This window comes from Homo sapiens, chromosome 4 (genome assembly GCF_000001405.40).
Source record: "Homo sapiens chromosome 4, GRCh38.p14 Primary Assembly".
In the NCBI taxonomy this organism is placed as follows: domain Eukaryota; kingdom Metazoa; phylum Chordata; class Mammalia; order Primates; family Hominidae; genus Homo; species Homo sapiens.
Window position 1 is genome coordinate 182,618,067 of NC_000004.12, and position 21,982 is coordinate 182,640,048.

Consider the following 21,982-nt stretch of genomic DNA (forward strand, 5'->3'; position numbering starts at 1 on the left):
TAAAACATTGAAGGAAACAAACTATTTTCTATGAAGATAACTGCTTATGAAGTTAATCTAATTAGAATTTATTTCATTCAGTAGTTACACACTTTCTTTTTGATTTTTATTTTCTATGCTAATCTCCCATTGAGGAAATGACTCAAACCACTTGGAATAATGCTATAACACATTTTCCAGGGATGCTTTTCAATTGGGTCCCTATAATTTCTAATTTATTAAACTGTATTCTTGATATTAAAGATAAAATGATTATATTAATCCCCTGAACAAAAGACCAGTATTAAGACATTTTTCCTAGTGACTCCTATAAGCTTTCAATTTAATTATGTATTATGACTTATTTAATTTTGTTAGCATCTTCTAAAATGAACTTTGATATATTAATATTACATATGATATAGAAAAGTACATTTAAATTTCCTTGATAATCTGATTATCTTGCCACTAAAAATCTTATGATGGTAAGTTTTATGCTTATTACTTTGAAAGACAAAATCAATCAAAAGTGAACAGCTACTAAGGAACAAAGCATGCCTGCTAAGACATGGGGTTTAAAAAAAAAAAAAGCAAAACAAATTATAAGAAGCAATTGTAAGTGGCCTAAGATAGGAGACAGAAGTTTTGACTGAACAAATAGAGGTGATTCGGTATACTGTGCGGGTCCAAAATTTAAAACATGATGTTTCATTTGAGGGTAAAAAAAAATTTGAAATGAAATGTTATTTTTGCCTCTTCTTTGCATCTGCTAAGCAGGTTAAAAGAAGTTGAGGTATAAGAACACAGAACTTCTCTGCTCAGCAATAAAAGAAAAAGAAGAGAAAGAAATGCTATAAAGGAAAGACTGCAGGATCCCCCAACAGGTTGACTACTCGGGGGTGGGGGTTGGGAGCAGGAAAGAAGAGTAATTAAAAATTACCCAAAGTCTGGCAGTTAGAGAGACTTAAAAGACAGAGTTACTCAACAGTGACCTAGAAGGCAGGGATGGGGACAGCAAAAAAGATGAGGAAATTCAGTCAATTTGCAACGTGACCCATAGAGGTATACATCATGGAATGGGTTAAAAATAGGAGCTAGAAGGCCAGGTGTGGTGGCTCACACCTGTAATCGCAACACTTTGGGAGGCCGAGGCAAGCGGATCACGAGGTCAGGAGATCAAGACCATCCTGGCCAACATGGTGAAACCCTGTCTCTACTAAAAATAATTAAAAAAAATTAGCTGGGCATGGTGGCACATACCTGTAGTCCCAGCTACTTGGGAGGCTGAGGCAGGAAAATCGCTTGAACCTGGGAGGCAGTGGTTGCGGTGAGCCGAGATCACGCTACTGCACTCCAGCCTGGCAACAGAGCAAGTCTCCATCTCAAAAAAAAAAACAATAGAAGCTAGATTAGAGGTAGAAGCTAACATCAAAAGGTTACTCTAAAGCCAGATCAACAAAGAAACAAACCTTTCAACTTAAGAAGACATAAGAGCAACTATTAATTGTGCTTAACGTAGAGTCATCCTTCCTATATATGTTTTAGTTTCTACATAGCATTACAAGTTAATGACGCAATGCAGTTCCACCGTTCTTGTCTTGTTGTTGTTAAATAGAATCCCCCTCAAGATTCCAGAGCCACAAAGCAACTGTTAGTGTTCGGTGACCTTCTGCACCAGCTGTCTTTTGGGCTTTGAAATTGATTTTCCTCATCTCAGTCTCTGATAGTCTCTCTTCAAGTGTGTCTCTCTAGCTCATCACCAGAGTGAAAACAGTGGCACAAATAGCTGAGGAACTGGAGGCAGGCTCCGTGCAGGGCATCATTGGAAACATCAGAACAAAAGGTGTGCTCTGTGTTAAAAAGAAGCCGCCGCGGCTGCTGCTTTATTGCTGAATACAATGGGGAATATTCTCACAGGTTCACTTTTTTTCATTCCCAAATATGGTCTGAGAAGTAAAGAAAATTTCTGCCTTTATTCTACAAACCTCATGTGGATGCCAGGTCAAAAGCATATGTTTTTGATAGCAATTTTTGCAGAATTTTTTACGTGTGAGAAGCATATTCCCAGAGCTGTATGACTCGGCAGAGTCACAGGATGGGAAGAGACTAATGACACACAAAAATGTGTGCTTTATAGAGAATTAGGTGATGATAATTTCCTTGTGCGGAAACTCACTGTCTACTCTCCATATAGCCGAATTTCAGTATTCCATTCCTTCGTTAAATATTTGTAGAGTCCTAAACATAAAGTAACCATTGTGTTGGACCTTGAGAACGGGTAAAAAGAAGTCCTTGGGCTTAAAGACACATTAATCACAATATGCACTTTGGCAGTGTTTGATATAGTGCAATGAAAGAGCCATTGTTGCCTTTGGAAAGAGGGTATCCTTTCTGAACCCCAAAACTAACAGAGTCCTGCGAAATCTGAGACCAAATATTCTCTGCTATAGAAAATATACTGACATAGATCATAGTAATGTCTAAGAGATTTTTACATGTATATTTTCACATATCTATTTTGAGGCCTAATTTTACCTGAAGGAATCCGTCTACACAAAATGACACCATTTGTTTGTAAGTAGTTTCAAAATACATCAGTTTAAACAATCTTTACTAATTCTTTCTTTACTTACATACTAGAAAGTGATCTGAAAATATCAAAGACTGGTGATTTTATTTTTTGATTGATTGACTGATTTTTGAGACAGGGTCTTGCTCTGTTGCCCAGGCTGCAGTACAGTGGTGCAATCACAGCTCACTGCAGCCTCAAACTTCTGGGCTTAAGCATTCCTCCTGCCTCACCCTCCTGAGTAGCTGGGGCTACAGGTGCATGGCACCATGCTAGGCTAATTTTTAAAAAAGTTTTTATCACGCCTGTAATCCCAGCACTTTGGGAGGCCAAGGCGGGTGGATCCCCTGAGGTCAGGAGATCGAGACCATCCTGGCTAACAAAGTGAAACCTCGTCTCTACTGAAAACACAAAAAATTAGCAGGACATGGTGGCGGGCGCCTGTAGTCCCAGCCACTCGGGAGGCTGAGGCAGGAGAATGGCGTGAACTCAGGAGGCAGAGCTTGCAGTGAACCGAGGTCGCACCACTGCACTCCAGCCTGGACAACAGAGCGAGACTCCGTCTAAAAAAAAAAAGATTTAGTAGAGATGAGGTCCCACTGTATTGCCCAGGCTGGTCTTGAATTCCTGGGCTCAAGCAATCCTCCTGCCTCATTGTTTTAAAATATAGTGCACAGGTGATTTGGCTTCTCTTCCCATGTTTTATAGCATTTCTGTATTTATTATGCACGTACATCACCAAGGCCCCAGTCTGATATACACAATCGGATTGAAATCTCAAAAGTACCTCTTCTCTGTGACTAATCTGAGTACAGTACAGGTCCCAATCTGAGGAGGGGTACTTCTGAGATTTAAAGTCAGTGGCTGGCCAGGCATGGTGGCTCATGCCTGTAATCCCAGCACTTTGGGAGGCCAAGGCAGGAAGACTGCTTAAGGGTAGGAGATTGAGGTCAGCCTGAACAACATAGGGAGACCCCCATCTGTACAAAAATATATATAAATATATATATAAAATATATAATATATAATACATATTATAATATATAATATGTATTATATATATAAAATATATAATATATATTATATATAAAATATATAATATATATTATATATAAAATATATAATATATAATATATTATAATATATAATAATTATATATTATATATAATTATATATATAATATATAATATATATATTATATATATATATATTAGCCAGATGTGGTGGTGCACATGCTGTAGTCCAAGCTACTCAGGAGGCTGAGGAAGCAGGATTACTTGGGGCTGGGAGGTCAAGGCTCCAGTGAGCTGTCTTCACACCACTGTGCACCAGCCTGAGCAGCTGGAGTAATGTTAGAACAAATAACAAAATATACAATCACAAAGATGTGATTTTAGAATATTACATCTTTGTTTTGAGCAATATCTCAAAATTACATTTTCTTCTAAGAAAAATAATAATTGCGGCAGGGCATGGTGGCCCACGCCTGTAATCCCAGCACTTTGGGAGGCCAAGGCGGGCAGATCACCTAGGTCAGGAGTTCGAGACCAGCCTGGCCAACATGATGAAACCTCGTCTCTACTAAAAATACAGAAATTACCTGGCATGGTGGCACATGCCTTTCATCCCAGCTACTCAGGAGGCTGAGGCTCCTCCCAGGAGGCGGAGGTTGCAGTGAGCCGAGATCACACCACTTCACTCCAGCCTAGATGACAAGAGCAAAACTCTATCGCAAAAAAAAAGAAAAAGAATAATTTCATAGCAACTCAAGCCCTTGCCAAGATTGGTGATCTCATGATCTACTGATGTCTCAAGTTTTGGAAATTTAAACAGAGGTGTCTGATTTGAAGTCAGCCTCTATCAAACTTACTGTCTCTCACGTAGTAGATATTCACGTTTTTAGTGTTGAGGCTAAGTTCATAATCTTGAGAGTCCCATAGGCTCAGATTCAAATCCTATCTCCCGTGGAGAAACAGCATACTTTGAATAAAGCTAAAACACACATCCCAGGCTTGCTTTTTGGTTTTTATAATTTCCAGCCTTATTTATTGCTATTTTATATATTATATGATTTCATTCCTTTATTAGCTGTGGCTTCTTGGCCAAGGTACTTAACTTTTTGAGGCTCACTTTTCCTCGTCTACATAATAGTCACCATTTTATTTATTTTACACATATTTATTGAACACCTACAACATGCCAAGAACTTTTTAAGCCCTGTTAATACAGAGGTGAATAGGACTTCATAGAGTTTACATTCTAATGGGAGAAGACAAACCATAGATGATTTGTGGAGTGAATATATCATTCATAGTCCATCAGTATAGTACGTTAGAAATGCAACTTTTAAAAATATTTGTTTATGTTTTTTATTTTTATTTTTTTAGACAGAGTCTCTTTTTTTTTTTTTCTTTGAGACTGAGTCTCGCTCCATTGCCCAGGCTGGAGTGCAGTGGTGTGATCTCTGCTCACTGCAAGCTCTGCCTTCCAGGTTCACGCCATTCTCCTGCCTCAGCCTCCCGAGTAGCTGGGACTACAGGCGCCCACCACCACGCCCGGCTAAATTTTTTTTGTATTTTTAGTAGAGACGGGGTTTCACTGTATTAGCCAAGATGGTCTCGATTTCCTGACCTTGTGATCCACCTGTCCCCGCCTCCCTAAGTGCTGGGATTACAGGTGTGAGCCACCACGTCTGACCCTATTTCTTGAGACAGAGTCTTACTCTGTCACCAGGCTGGAATGCAGTGGTGTAGTCTCAGCTCACTGCAACCTCCATCTCCTGGGTTCAAGCAATTCTCCTGCCCCAGCCTCCCTAGCAGCTGGGATTACAGGCCCCCGCCATCACATCTGGCTAATTTTTTGTATTTTGTTTGTTTGTTTGTTTGTTTGTTTGTTTTTACTGGAGACAGGGTTTCAGTGTGTTGGCCGGGCTGGTCTCGACTCCTGAGCTTGTGATCCACCCGCTGCGGCCTTCCAAAGTGCTGGGATTACAGGTGTGAGCCACCGCACCCGGCCTGTTTTATTTTAAGCCTCATTCCTAGAATCTTCTCTTCAGGCAGTTTGGGTCCCTCCCTCCCTTACCCCAGCTCTTCCATGATGCTCTGAGCACAGCAGGGAGCTTCTGGTGTTACACTCTTCTCCACTAAGACATCTAGTTTTCATGCTCTCTGTCTTTTCCTAATCCTCCTGATATTGCGGGGGTCGCCTTCGTTCCTATCCGCGAGACCCCTGCTTGTCCAGTGGCACACTCTGCCATCTCTTTGCTTCTCTTGCAGCCATAGAAGTAATTCCGCTTCTTAGAAATTATGCTCAGGCACAGGAATCTCTGCGAGGCTCCCTGACTGCATCGCCTGGATGCTTCATGCGTTTATTTCTCTTTGAGATCCTGTTATCACCTCCGTTCTCTGTCTGAGATGTAAGGCACAGGTTTCCTCTGCTCTCAGGCCCCTTGGATATACGCCGTGGTCTCTGCTTCTCCAGGAATCACGCGGGGAGGCCAGGAGCAGGGCCTTCATCCCTGGGACATGGTATATCTTCAGCCATTCTTCTCTTTCTCTCTTCCTAGCCCTTAATAAAATGAAATATTTTTTCTAGTCTAAGGGGAATCTTTGTTTTCTAAATATGGTTTCTTTCTGACATTTTGGGTATATCCCAAAGCCTCTCTCCATTTCCACTTTCCCCCAGAGGGTTTTCATGGGACCAAAGACTAAGGTAAGGGACTACGTCGTTGGCCATGGGCCTGCAAACCTGTCGCTACCTGAGTTTTGCGTGTTTCTCTACACGCAGCTTTGCCAGGTAGCTCTCTCTGCTACTTCTGTCCCTTCGAGCATGGCATGGAAGCAGTAGAAAGAGCCTCAGCCTTCCTTGGAGTCTTGCCACTTCCCCAGAATGCCACTCACGAAGCAGAAGGCAGGCTTCTCTCCCTGGGCCCTGTTGCTCCTCTGCTGTTACCAGCTCCCCTCAGGTTCTCCACCTGCTCCCAGCGTGGACATGTTCCCCTTTCTGGAGGGAAGCCCTTTCTCCCCTCACACCATTTTTCTCCCCAGTCCACTCTATTTCACTCAGCAGTCTGGGCTTTAGAAAACCGGTAAGAGACTCAAGCTATTTCTTCCTTCATCTTATTTCATTTCTCCTGGAGGCAATGAAATAAAACTAGAATGAGAGGATTGAGGCAGAGGAAACACAGAAAGGGAAAAAAGTCAGGAGGAAAAAACATGCTTTCAATAGTACTTCAGAAACTTGATTTACCGCACAAATAAATAACAAGATCACTGATTGTAATAAGCACTTTGAAGAAAATGATAATACGTGGTAATACTATGGAGAGTAGAGGGAACAGGGCTTTGGATTGGGTGGTCAAGTAGTAACGTCTGAGCTGAGATTTGGAGGATGAAGGCTGAAAATACAAATAGGCATTTTATTCTTCACCGCATTATGGTGAAAATTGTAATGAAACAACAATACAGTGCTTAGTAGGTACTCAGGAAATGGCAGTTATCATTATTGTTGTTAATGAAGCCGACAGAATGGACACCTAGCTCAGGTCCATCGGTGATACCAGGAGGGGTCATCCAAGACTGAGCTGATGCCAAAGCCCACACTTGTAGCACGGGTCCCCGACCACTGGGCTGTGGACCAGTACAGATCTGCGGCCTGTTAGGAACTGGGCCACACAGCAGGAGGTGAGTGGCAGTCGGGGGAGGGAGCGTTACTGCCTGAGCTCCGCCTCCTGTCAGATCAGAGATAGCATTAGATTCTCACAGGAGCACAAACGCTGTTGTGAACTGCGCATGTGAGGGATCGAGGTTGTGCGAGAATCTAATGCTTGATGATCTGAGGTGGAAAAGTTTCACCCCGAAACCATCCTCCCCACCCCCCTATTCCTGGTCCAGGGAAAAATTGTCTTCCACGAAACCGGTCCCTGGTGCCAAAAACGTTGGGGACCGCTGCAGTAAAGTAAGCGAATTGTCCCACAGTCATAGGAAATGTCAGTCCTTTTCCTATACTTGGCAAAGATGATCATTTGGCCCTGTGAAATTCATACACCAGTGTTTGCCAGGACTTTTTAGGGTGGAACTTCCAGAAGATAATAATAGGATGTCTGTCCAATTACATGGATCTGTCCAAGCTTCACAAGAGGCATGCTTTGCACCCTTTAGGCTGCCTTTTAAATCCTCTCCAGTGGCGTTGAGGGAATAGGCTGTTTCTACGGGCTGCTGAGCCTCCTGCTCACTCTTCATGTATAATCCTGAAAAGAGCGAGAATCTAGGTCCGGGCCAACATGATTCACAGGCCAGATCTAGCCCTGTTCCTTACTTTTTGGTACTGCTTGTGAGCAGAGAATGGTTTTCACATCTTTAAATAATTGACAGCATGAAAAGAAAAGATTTCATGACATGGGAAAATTCTATAAAGTTAAAATTTCAATGTCTACAAAAAAGTGTTATTGGAACAGAGCCAGAGTTAAACATGTATGCATTGTCTATGGCGGCTTTCACGATAGAACAGCAGAGTTCAGTGATATCGCTGGAAAAGCCTAAAATATTTACTCTGTGGTCCCTTACAGCAAAAGTTTGCTGATGCCTGATCTAAATGACATAGTCCATCTTCTTATCCAGACTACATGCCAGTGTGAAATCGCCAGTATCAAATTTGTAAACCAGGGAATTAATTTTGTACACATTCGTTTTGATGATGTTACATTTTGAATTGGCATTTAAAATCTTCAAATTATACTTTTTTGGTCCTTTGAATAGAGACTGTGATATGTGATTTTGAGCAAAATAATAAATAACTAATGCTTATTGAGCACTTACCTTGTGCTAGATACTAATGTAAACACTTTATATATGCATTACTTCATTTAATCCTTGGAAAATGCCTGTAAACTGTAGGTACTGTTATTATGCCCTTTTTACAGATGATAAAACCAAGACACAAAACTTGAGTAACTTACCCACCATCTTGCAGCTATTTATAGGTGAAGTCTGGCTTTGAACTCAGACAGTGTTGTTTCAGAGCGCTTAATAACCAGGCTGAATATGGTAGGAGGTACTGATGCTGCCTCCAACATATCACTTAATTCAGGCTATAAACTTTTAAATTAGCTTTTTAAAGTAGTTCAGTGGGGGGAGATGGGCTCATAATACAGTCGCTAGTATAATTTGTACAAGTGGCAACTCATCATTTGCATCTGTTCTAATTTTGTGTTTGACAAAGCATTTTTTAGAGACATTAGCTCTAGTCTCTAAAAGCTCTAGTTTTGCAACCCTGTTAAAATAAGTAAGTCATTAGTGCCATTTTTTTTACAGGTCAAGAAAAAAAACTGAGGTTCCCTAGGACCACATTACTAGGAAATGATAGACCAGGGACTGATTTTCAATCCAGAATTCTTTCCACTCTACCGACCTGTATTAGGCCAACTTTCATGACTTTTACCGTATCTGTAGACCAGCTTCACTATTTTTCACGTAATAGTTTTCTGGAGATTGATTCTTTGTAACTTTTAAATACCTATTCAGCCTTTTCTAAGCAATAATATACATAAAATAAATGAGTGTGATCCTTTTTTATTAATTGGATACTTACATAACACTTGGTATATTCCAAGCACTTTACTTTAAATATTAACTCATTTAAGTTTCATAATAACCCTGTGAGGTAGATACTATTACCATCCTCATTTTATACATTAAGAAACCAAAACTGACTTTCAGTAACTCGCCAGGGACACATACCTACTAAGTGGTTAGGTGGAATTTGAACCTTGGCAGTCTGGCTTCCCAATTCTGTCCTATTAGCCCCTTAATTTGTTTGATATATTCAGTATTTCTCCAATATACAATAAGTATATGAGTATTAAAATTAGAAGTATTTAGCTATGTCTTATCTAAAATGACCTTGCATAAAGACTGTACCATATCAGATTGGAAGATCTCTGTATCTTCTGAATGTGAAAGAGAGCACAGTCTGTTGACTTCATTGAATGTATTAGGAACATCGTAATAAGTGTCACTTACTGAATATACTGTATATTCAGTGGATACTCACTGAATATACTGTAAGTAACCAGCATAATATTAAAAGTAAACCATGAAACAAATGGTGCTTTTTTAAAATTTGGAGACTTCTGTTGTTAATAGGAATATTAAAATTAGTTACCTTTCCTGAAGAATTCCTTTTACAGTGCTCTTGTCATGTGACCACACAATTTCTGCTTAAACATTGTCAAGGAAGACAGCATACAACTTTTAGAGACAGTTTGCTCTCTGTTGTATGGCTCGGTGGTTAGGGAATGTTTCCGTATTTGATCCAGAATCTGCTTCACTGACCCCTTCATTTATTTAGGTTTGGTGTTAGAAGATGTTCCATGATTCCTTCCCTGTCCCTACCCCCAGCAGGTTCACACTCCTGATTATGTTTGACATAAGCTAACAATAAAATAGTTTGCATCGTTTGAGAACTGAGCAGCTGCCTGTAACCGAACTTGTTTTTATAGTACTTATTAGCAGAGAAGCAGGCCAAGAGGACAGTGTTTCCATGGACATCCAGAAAATAAATCAGTCTGCAGAAGATCCGCGTGATCATGCATACTCGTGTTTATATGAGCGCATAGTCTCATGAGTAGTAAATGGCCATGTAGCTGGGTTTCTTTTGCTAACTGTGAAAATGCTCTTAGGGTAATTCATCAAGGGACATTCCAAAATGGTTTTGTTCAGGAAACAGTATGATTAGAAAATCTTTATAGTCTCTCAAGATGTCTACTTGAAGGGACAGTGATCATTTATGATCATTTATATGTATAAATCCTGCTATCTACATTAGAAATCAGTCTCTTTCATTAGAGTCATTATTGTGAGTTAGATTCTTTGGTTAAAACATTTCCTTAATTTTTAATGTTTTAGGTTATATAGGATAAATTCTTTTAAAAAAGAGAGAGAGAGCAAAAGAGACAGGAGAGCTAAATGCATCGCTGTCTCTTGTCTCTTGTATCGTAACATATTTGTATCTTATAATGATATTCTCCTTTTCCACAGGCATTTCCTATTCAAAACAGGAACAGGTACAACGCCACTGTTCAGTACTGCAACCCCAGGATACACAATGGCATCTGGCTCTGTTTATTCACCACCTACTCGGCCACTACCTAGAAACACCCTATCAAGAAGTGCTTTTAAATTCAAGAAGTCTTCAAAGTACTGTAGCTGGAAATGCACTGCACTGTGTGCCGTAGGGGTCTCGGTGCTCCTGGCAATACTCCTGTCTTATTTTATAGGTAAGAACAAGTTCTTAGAATTACTTTGTCTGTAAATCAGGGTGTTACATTGTTTTATTACTTGTATTTATTCATTTGGTCTAGAAATATATTGTGAGATTATATTTGGTGGGGGTGAGTTTGGTAATAATGTATCATAAATCACAGAGTATTTTCAGTAATTTTCAGCAAATTTAGATACATAGAAAAGCAGGTTTTGTGGGTAGTGAGGTAATATTCTTGGACAAAAGCTATAGGGTACATTTGTGTTTGACTTATCCCTTGTGAAACATGGATAGCTCTGTGGCATTTCATGTACACAAAATAATTCATGCGCTTGCAGTAATGAACCCTGTGCAGGATTTCCTTCAATGCGTACTCAATAGGGAGCTCTCCACTGCTTGTGATATTGTAAGTCTCTCAGCTCACTCAGCCATCTAAATGTAAAACTCATCACTCAGGGCCATCATCTTGCACTCAGGAACACTCTCCAGAGAACTGGGCGTCCATAAAGCAATGAATGGATTATATACTCATTCATATATGTGGATTTTTCTTCTCTTCTGATGTAGTATTGATCATGTTTTTCATTTGATAGTAACCCAAATAATGGAAGCTACTAATAGAAGTTGTAAATATTGCTTTTATTTAACCATTTCATAACATATCTGAGCATTCACACTACTGGAAATCGCTTTTTAAAATGCCAGAAATGACCACATTGTGTTTTGATCTTCTTCTAAGTATAGGAAAAGGCCTACCACATTGAAATGCTAATGGTGTCCACTGAGATAAATCACAGGCTTTGTGGTTTATCCACCAAGAACAATAGCCAGTGATGCATCCTCAGGTTTACAAAGCAATTTGTGATGCCCCATGAAATTCTATAACTGAATAAGAGTATTGCAGAGCTGTATGTAGAATACTATGATGTTTCTGCAGTGGACCAGTATCTTCCACTGGCTACAATACTCCTGTGATATAATTATGCACTTTGGAAAGTGAAATAACCATTTTGTGTCAGTGTTCAATGGGAAAACAGAATTGTAGAGCATGAAGGAACTTTAGAGACAATTGAGTCAGGAATGGCAACTACGTGACAAGTTATACAGTATTTTTTCCAATTTTTTGACCATGGAAGACATCATTAATGATTCACAGCACTTTCTCTCCTTAACCCGATTACATGCTGCTTATCTTCATCAGAGTGCTTCATACAGTACCTCTGACGGCCTCTACCAGTCAGAGGTAAAAGCAAGATGAAACCTTTCTGTTACCTTTCTGTCATCTTTTAATCTAAGTTAACTTTCTCCTTATAAAGACGGTCAAACCAGATACTGAAGGGGTTGTCTCTTGACTAGGATCACACCCTAGTGAAACAATACTGCTGTTGTTTCATAACAGTGAAGGTAAATGAGTAATTTCACAACAAAAATCAATATTCCAGAGACAGATTTCTAGTATTCGGTTAGAAAATGTATCAGCCATCAAGAGATTCTCTTCTAGTTAGCTGTGTATATTATTTGTACCTGTCAGAAGTGTGCTGCTAAAGAATTTTAAATGGTTCTGAAAGGGACCAGTCATAAATGGGATGTAATAAATTAAGAATATGTATTTGAACTGAACAAGGAGAACACACGGGCACAGGGAAGGGAACAAGACACACTGAGGCCTGTCATGGGGTTGGCTGAGGGGAGGGAGAGCATTAGGTAAAAACAGCTAATGCATGCTGGACTTAATACCTAGGTGATGAGTTGACAGGTGCAGCAAAACCACCATGGCACACATTTACCTATGTAACAAACCTGCACATCCTGCACCTGCACCCTGGAACTTAAAAATAAAAAAGAATATGTGTTTGTTGGGGATTTTATTTATTTATTTATTTTATTTTATTATTATTATTTTTTTTTTACTAAATGGGGCACACCAGGTAGATAAATATTCAGGGCTGGAATTCAGTGTCAGGTTGACTGGTCAGGCATCCTTTCTGATTGATAAGTGCCTGTGTGCTTCCAGTTGTTAAATATTTTGAATATCAATTCTAATGCCATTTAATTTTATTTTCATGGTGTGACTAGCAGGAAAAAATAGCATTTTAATGTGAGATCAGTCACTGTTACCTGTGAGACTTGTACTCTTTTTAAGGACCCATTAGTGAATATAACTCTCAGACTTCTAAGTAAAAACTCAAAATTTTCCTTTTTTTTTCATATTGCCTAGTTTTACTTTTTAGTAATTACCAATCTGCTTTATTCCTACTAGTACCATGGTCATAAACCTTCCCTTTGCTTTTATTTTTCCCCACATGGCAACATGCAAATTATCTAGTTAATATACTCATGTAGGGTTTTCAGTTCAACAGATATTTATTGAACATTTGTTTTGATCTAGTTATTGTGCTAGGAATTAAGAAGATACAATCCCAGTGTTATCTAGCAAAAAAATTACTTTTATCTTCAAAGAATTGTCTCATACTTTTATCACTTTAATTAAGCACATGTGTGCTTCCAATTTTCATTGGTCTTCCTATATTTAAAGGGCTAACACACTAACACAATGATTTTATTTTTAATCAGGTAAAAAAATTTCATTCGCTCATCAGTTCGCATGGTAAATCTTTTTTGATTAAAGACGTTGCCTTTACCCTTGAAGAAAAGAACAGGACACTTCTCTCAGGGAAGGCTGTCCTTTTCTGTTAAGTGTGCATGTAAAGCAGAGAGGGAGAAAAGAAACACTTGCCCGTCCAGCCAGATCAGTCTGATAAACCCCAGTATCAATGAGGAAGACCAATGTCATCATGAGATTGACCTTGCAACCTTTAACAGAAATGCAGCCTTCCTGAAGCTTTTTTTTCCATTCCCTTAGAATTCCCTTCTCTTATATTGACCGTTAATATACAGTAAAAGCCTAAGACATTAAAAAAGAGCTTGAGGAATTATTTCTTCGAATATTTTTTCTTACCTTCCAGTAAGATAATGAGAACTTACGACAATGTAGATTTAACATGTCTCTTCTCTAAGGTAAGTTGTCTCAGGATAGACAAGGTGAACAGCTTCTGAAAGAGAGGCAAGGAGGGAGGGAGGGAGGTGGACAGGCTTTGTTGTTTATTTTTTCTATTTCTTCAAAATTTCAGAGAGTAAAGAAAGACCTTAAAAAGTGAAAATTAATTGTAATCCCACAGTGCATGCTGTCAACTTTTTGGTGTGTATCCTTCCAGATATTGTCCCATGTACATATACAGCTAGAGGTCCATATTTTTAAATGCATTTTATACTAGGCTTTTCTCACATATCATTCATTATACATCATCTATATAATTTTATTTAGTGGCTATTCTTAGTTAACTAGTTCCCCAAAATACAGTGACTTATTTTCTTGTACCTGTGTCCGTGCATGTTGGTGTGTGCGTATGTGTTCATTTGATCCAGTTTTTTATTGGTATACATTTTTTGAAGGATGTTTGCTGTACCACAGAGTAGGCATGTTTTAAATTTTGAAAACCATGGCAACTGTCAGTTTACATAACCACCAACGCTAGTCATTACATCTATTTATCTGTCTATATTTTATTATGCATATTTTTAACTTTTGCCAATCTCTTAGGTTAAAAGGTTGTTATTTTGATTTATTACTAGTAGCGCTGACTATCTTCTCATACATTTATTGGCCATTTGTATTTCTCTTTTTGTGTGTGAATAGCCTCCACTTTTCTATTGGGGCTATTCTCTTTTCTTTTTGATTTAAAAAGGCTATTTTCAATTAAGGATATGAATTTTTTGTCACATGTTATGTACTTCTCCAATTTATTATTAACTTTGGTCAGAGTCATTTTTACCATATTTCATTCACAAGTTTTAAAGTCGTCAAATGTATTTTTCCCTTTATATTTCTGGCTTTCAAGACATACCTGTAAAGTCCTTATTTAATCTAAGTGTTAGTTTTTATTTATTTGGTATATTTTTATTTTTTGGAGACAGGTTCTCACTCTGTTTTTTTCTTTAAATTTCTAGCTTTCATGCCATACTTATCTAATCTAAGTATTAGTTTTTATTTATCTTTTATATTTTTATTTTTTCAAGGCAAGATCTCACTCTGTCTCACAGGCTGGAGTGCAACGACGCAGTCACAGCTCACTGCAGCCTCTGCCTCCTGGGCTCAAGTGATCCTCCCATCTCAGCCTCCCTAGTAGCTGGGACTACAGGCACACACCACCATGCCCAGCTAATTGTTTTTATTTTTTTGTAGAGACAAGATCTCCCTATGTTTCCTAGATTGGTCTCAAACTCCTAGGATCAAGCTGTCCTCTTGCCTCAGCCTCCCAAAGTGCTGAGATGACAGGAATGAGCCACCACTGTGCCCAGCCGAGGATTTTTAAAAATGTTCTTCAACTTACTCTGGTACTTAATGGTTTTTCAGTAACTATTTTTAAGTTAACATTTTCTTGGCCACTCTGATAGATGTCAGAGGTCCAAATTAGCTCTTCATTCTAGACGCTCATAGTCAAGTGATGAGGACGTGCATAAAAACACTCTTAACACCATACATGCTTTCATACCAGCTTGATGAGCAAAAAGAGAAGAAAGGCGATACCTACGTTTTGCTGTAGATTTGGGGGAAAGACTTGATCTGGCACCTGATGCATGAACTGGAGCTTTGTTCACCTCACGCCAATGGCTAGTGAGAAAATCACCTTGAGATGAGGTCATCTGAGGAACAGCAAGGAGAAATGCGAAATATCTGCCATGGTGCATGTGCAGTGCTTACTGTGCCGGGCGCTGTTCTAGAAACTGTATGAATTACCTCATTTAATTTCCACAACAACCTTAGGAGGTTTCTTCTTTTAACAAATGTAATCTGTGGCTTAGAGAGATGGCTCGCCTGAAGGCACACACACAAGGACTCTTACACTATACTGTCTCCCGTGAGGTTTTTTAAGAAGTAAAAATAGAGAAGAAATTGAAGAGATTTAAGCATAGGAGTGAAAAGGAGTCACATTTATGCTTTTGAAAGATTGTTTCAGTGGCCTTCCAGAACATGCAGTATGATGAAAGGAGGTCCAGAGTTGTGCTTTCCAAGCATTCCTGTGCCTAGGAATCGCCTGGGGACCTTGCTAAGATGCACGTCCTGATTTAGCAGATCCGAAGTGAGAACCGAGATTGGTTTTTCCAGCAGGCTCTCAGGTGATGCTGCCGTGCTTCTCAGACCACAATATGAGTAGCACAGGTCTAGGAAATGCTGTCACGTGTCCCGTTTCATGATGGAAATGTTCTGTTTCCACACTGTCCAATTTAGTAGCCACTAGACACATGTGGCTGTTGAGCACTTGAAATGTAGCTAGTAAGTTGTAGAAACCAAAGTTTAAATTGTGCTGTTTTTCATTAAACTCAAACAGCGACATGGGGCTAGGAACTATCATTTGGATAGTACAAGTCTAGACAACCTGTTAGAAAAGTAGCCATAACTGGGAGATCATGAGGCCCTATTAGGATAGAGGAGCAAGCAGAATTGAGAAACCTTAGCTGACTCATGATAGAATAAATGTGATATGATTTCACCTATCCCAGTTTTTAAAAATCAAATGTACATATGGTAAACTTTCTTTCATTGGAGTCATCTTACCATTTTCTTTGGATTACTGAGCCTGCAGCTAAAATCCTGCTCTAATCCATTAACCTTTTGAGTTGCTGTGCCTTTACGCAACAAAAATTCTACTGATTTCTAACCACAAATGTTAGGTTCAATGATTACAGTTAGTGATACAGACCTACCCAAAGAAATACCTGTTGCACTTCTCTGGGCCCTGATGTACTCATTCTTCTTTTTTGACTCTGAAATTAAAAAAAAAAAAAAAAAAAAAAGATGAGCAGTAACCACCAGTTGTTCACCAAAGAATGGCAAAAAGGAGAAGAGTCCATGTTCTGCGTCTGTTCACCGTTACACGATGGGTAGGAGTCTTGATACTGTTCTTTGCTCACAGAAAGCTCTTTTTTCTGGGTAGAAGATAACCTGAAATGTCAATGTTATACACATAGAAAAATGGCCAGAAATCCCTCATGAAGGATAAACATTATTGACGCATTGCTACATGCAAATCATAATAAATGCTTGGGATGACGCCAATTAAACTGCAAATAAGCCCTCAAATCAGACTTCAAATAACACCGTTATAGACCTTTAATTTCGTGAGCATCTCTGTGCACTGCTAGGCAGAGTCAGAGAATTTCTCCATGTACAGTAGCACCAAAGGTATTTGTACATGAACTTTTTAAGGAACACTAGAGAAAAAAATATTATCAGACTATATTGTGGTGGTATATTTTCTCAATTATCTTGCCCTTTTGGCCAGGTTTTTCCTAACCAGTAATTCATTTGACAACAGAGTGTTTTAAATCACAGCTTTATTGAGACCCAGTGCACATACTGTGTGATTTATCCATTTAAATATACGGTCCAATGGTGTTTAGTGTTACATGTCCACAGAATTTTGCAGCTACCATACAGAACATTTCTCTCACCTCCAAAAAGAATCCCTGCATCCTTTAACAGTCACTCGCTGTTACCTCCCAACACCCAGTCAATACCCAATAGTTTTTTTATCCCCACAAAAATGTTTCCATAAAAATCTGAAATTTTTAAGGGACTGTTTTGCTAACTCATTGCCCAATGAAAACAAATAACTCAGCTTTGTTTTTCTTATGAGCTCCTGACAAGTATAGCAAACCGGAGAACTACTCAAATTTTTACTATTCCTTTCATTTAAAAAATACATATGTAGTTATTTATTTCCTTTGAACAGCTGCTACCAACTGATTTCTAAAATACATGTTGTCATATGCCTGCTAAAAAGGCTGTTTAACAACATAAGCATTCCCTAGATCTGGCAAAACATAACCTGTCGAATCCAGGTTCATTGCAGTTATGATTCCTTAGCAGTTATCTGTCCTACTTCTGGGCCTATTTGCATTTTATGAACACTTTTACCTCTCTGTGTACCTTGAAATTGATTATGGTAGTAGCTATATATGTGCAACTCAGGGTCAGAAGGGAAAATACGCCAGCCCTTTATGCTTCATGAAAAATCAGCCATTTAACTATATATGGCAAAATAAAATGTGTTTGACATTCTTTTTTCTTTTTGGACATGTCTTTGTAATAAAAGTGCTGTTTTATAATGTTCTAGAACACAGCCAAGCAATGAATTACATACCATTTTCCACTACAGCTTCTTCCCTTCACTCTGAGTTGCATTATAGTCAGAAAATGCGTTTTTGTCTGAGATGGTATGGAAGCATTTTAATACTAACATGATTTCATCACATTGTAGGAAAAAATGTGTTGCCTATATTTTAGAGGATGGAAAATTGTAAGACTAAAAATTTAGAATCAGTTTTTCAATATTTTATTTTATTCTGGAATCCTTAAGGACATATTTAAGCCTGATTCAATGGTGATTAAAGACTCAGAATAAAAGAATTTACCAGTATAGAAAGTAAGCTCCTCCTCTCCCCACAAACATAATGTATTTTACTCTTAGTTTGATATGAGGTCAGCTAAAGTAAATAACATATGCAAATAATACACTTGGCCGGGCACAGTGGCTCACACCTGTAATCCCAGCACTTTGGGAGGAGGCCAGGAGTTCAAGACCAGCCTGGCCAGCACGGTGAAACCCCATCTCTACTAGAAACACAAAAAGTTAGCCAGGCATGGTGGCACGCACCTGTAGTCCCAGCTACTCGGGAGGCTGAGGCAGGAGAATCACTTGAACCCAGGAGGCAGAGGTTGCAGCGAGCAGAGATCGCGCCACCGTACTCCAGCCTGGGCAACAGAGTGAGACTCTGTCTCAAAAAAAAAAAAAGAAAGAAAGAAAAGAAAAGAATACACTTAAACAGATTGTGTTTACCATTTAAATATAGGGATCTCTCTGACTTGAAAAATATTCAAAGACAGAACAATAAGAAATACCTTTAAAGTCAGCTTACATCCAGTTTATGCTAGATATAAATATCTTATTCATGAAATATAGTGAAGTTTTCTCTGTTTTAAACTATCATTTTTGCAAAACGTAGCAACATCTCCTAATGACAAGTGGAAAGCTTAATGCAATATTTACCACTTTACTGCTACGTTGCATAAATATTTAATTGGTGTTGCATATGTCATTTGCTTTTACATTAGTGGTACTAACAGCGGCATATTCAGAGAGAAATGTCTGCATAGAGAGGAGTGAAAGAAAAGTAAATGGCATAAATAAGGTTAAAAAAACTTGAATTACTAGGAATTTTAGAAGTGAATTCAGCATAAAACCTTTAAGTTTCATGGAAACTATATCAAACAAAGGTTTCATCCTAGAATATACAAATAAAGATACAAATATCAAAGGTTTCATCCTAGAATATACAAATAAAATTTAAATTTGTATAGAGTTTGTTGTTCCCACATCATCTTAGAATGTCTGCAGACTGCTCACATTGTCCCTTTTCCTTAAAAATAAGATTCCAAAGCCAGACGTGGTGGCAAGCATCTGTAGTCACAGCTTTCTGGGAGGCTGAGGCAGAAGGATCACCACTTGAGCCTCGGAGTTTGAGGCTGTAATGCCTGATGATCATGCCTGTGAATAGCCACTGCACTCCAGCCTGAACGACATAGCAAGAGCATCTCTAAAAAATAAAAAATAGATTTAAAAAAATTCCAGTTTCTTCTTTAGTGACTTTGGTAATATAACACCTGTCAGAAAAGGAACTGACCATTCATTCATCCGTCATTCATTCAACATTTATTTATCAGGTGACTACCATGGGTCAGACACTGTGACAGAGACAGCAGTGAAAATACAGTCCTTGCCTCTTAGAGATTATATTCTTTTGTAGAATGCAAACACTGAGTAATTAATTACAGTTATAGTAACTGTTTGAAAAGGAGAAATGTAGGAAACTAAGAGAGTGCATAAAAGACAGAACTTTACTGAATCTGAGCATTCAAGATTTTCCTGCTAAGGCCTAAATAATAACTGAGATTATGTGTTTTGACAAATGCTGACGTAGGGACAGATTCTAAGTGTTACCACATAAACCTAAATGTGACCCAAAAATATCAACTGTCAGGGTATTAAAACTAATATATTGTGATATAATGAAAATTTATCCATGTGTTAGGGGAAAAATTTTTTTTTTTTTTAGTTTTCATTATTGACTTAGTTTACCTAGAGCCCAGTGTTCCAGTTAACATCTAGAAGTAGAAATGTCACTTTGGAAATTTGGGGTAACTAGATCTATAATTGCCGCAAGAATCCCATAGTCTCTTTCTGTTTGTTCCTTTCTCTTAATTTCAGATAACGTACATGCATGCTTTAAGAATTTTATTTATAAAGAATTTTCAAAAAAATGTTTTTAAAAACTGGTAAAGGAAAAGATATCTCTGACTTCTTTCCATTCATGAGTACTCAATCTGTTTTGAAGAAATTAAAAACATACAGATGTGTGTGTCTGTATCCTACATCGCAAAAGCTGTTTGGAGATAAGCGTCATGTTGCCCTGTGTTTGATAACTAAGGAGGTCAGCACGTCTCATTTTCATGATTGAGTTGGGCCTAAAGGTGCAAAGAATCTTACTCTGAGGCCCCCCCATTGTGCATCTTCCCATTGTACAGTCTATACAGTGACTCGAAGAACAAGTATGTTTTTTTAGCTAGATCCACCTCTGTATAATACTAAGATATTTTCTGAGAAAAGATTTCATGTTATTAATGATAAGAACTTCCAGTCCTTCTGTTACCTGTTACATTTTATCGTGGTGACTTATCCGGGAGGGAATTAATGCTCCTCTTCTGGTGGCTGTCCATCAGCCAGCCTGGCATGACATTGGCTGGCTCTGTCCTGGGATTGTCTTATCACCCTAATACTTTAGCCACTGCCTGATCCTTTCTGTTTTCTCCTCCACTGGGGAACCCATTCTCTTTATGACTTTCAGTAAGCCTCCACCTGCCCCTGAAGGAGAGGAAACCTGTCACATATTATCCTGCATTTCCCAGAAAGACAGAAGGATATCCAAAGCTACCTAGAAGATTACTGCATATAATTTGTAGAATATGGGGCTCTTGGTTTTGAGAGAAAATTGTACAGGTGGTTTTGCAGATTTCAGATTTTTGCTTATTTTTTCATGTATCTCCTTTTAATTATTTCTAATATCAAAGTCAATTTCATTAAACTTAGCTGTTTTTGAATACCTTTTCTAAATACTGAATTCACAAAGATGAGTAAGAAGTAATATTTATCACAGTGATCTCACACTCTTATATGACAAGATATAATTTGAAATTTGTATACCATAGTACAATTTATTTTTAAAATACTGTTAATAAGTATAGACTCTCAAAGCAGCCAGATTTGTGTTTGTATCTCACCTTTGTCACTTAATAACTATGTAATCTTGAACAGGGTAGTTAACCTTCGTAAACCTGAATTTCTTCCTCAATATAAACAAGTTTCAAAATAGTACAGCTATGGGGAAAATTGAATAATGTGCCTGGCAAAATGTAAGTGCTCAGTTAATTTTAGCTCTTCTTCTTCTTCTTTGTAACAACCTAGTAAATTAAGTACTATTATCCACACTTTTTTAAAAGAAAAATCTTAGGCCCAGAAAATCAGTGACTTGTCCAGTCAGCAAGTCCTTTAAAAGGAACCATAATCTAGGTCTCCTTATTTTAAGTCCAGAACTTTTCCCACTATATCACAGAGCATTGTTTCTCCTAAGGTTTAAGAATTTATAGATAGAACATGAACTGAAGAATAAATAACAATGAAAGACAAAATGAGAAATGAATTCCATTTTGAATTCTTATTTTCTTATGTCAGATTATGTCACGAGGAAGGTCTCAGCAGATGTTAGCCATCTCTGACACTTGCCTTTAACATCTCTTTTACAAATAAAGAGTAATTTGGACCGGGTGTGGTGGCTCACACCTGTAATCCCAGCATTTTGGGAGCCTGAGGCGGGCAGATCACGGGTTCAGGAGATTGAGACCATCCTGACCAACATGGTGAAACCCCGTCTCTGCTAAAATACAAAAAATTAGCCGGGCGTGGTGGCGCGCACCTGTAGTCCCAGCTACTCGGGAGGCTGAGGCAGGAGAATTGCTTGAACCCAGGAGGCGGAGGTTGCGGTGAGCTGAGATCGTGC

General features: G+C 38.5%; 1 protein-coding gene and 1 pseudogene across 31 annotated transcripts in view, besides 1 other annotated feature; one reads left to right on the forward strand and one right to left on the reverse strand.

Moving 5' to 3' along the window:
* The window catches only part of TENM3 (teneurin transmembrane protein 3), a 1,355,412-nt gene that overhangs the window by 1,170,454 nt on the left and 162,976 nt on the right, over positions 1–21,982 (forward strand). For all 31 annotated transcript variants that reach the window (XM_017008385.2, XM_017008389.2, XM_017008390.2 and 28 more), the window contains one exon: positions 10,585–10,823. In XM_017008385.2, coding sequence (XP_016863874.1) covers positions 10,585–10,823 — 239 coding nt within the window. The remainder of the gene's footprint in view (positions 1–10,584; positions 10,824–21,982) is intronic.
* Positions 7,250–7,750: an enhancer, noted in NCBI's record as "H3K4me1 hESC enhancer chr4:183546469-183546969 (GRCh37/hg19 assembly coordinates)". NCBI's record gives its function as "activates a minimal SCP1, AML or CMV promoter by ChIP-STARR-seq in primed H9 embryonic stem cells {active_cell/tissue: H9 hESC(primed)}" and the evidence as "EXISTENCE:reporter gene assay evidence [ECO:0000049][PMID:30033119]".
* RN7SKP67 (RN7SK pseudogene 67) lies at positions 13,388–13,622 on the reverse strand (annotated as a pseudogene).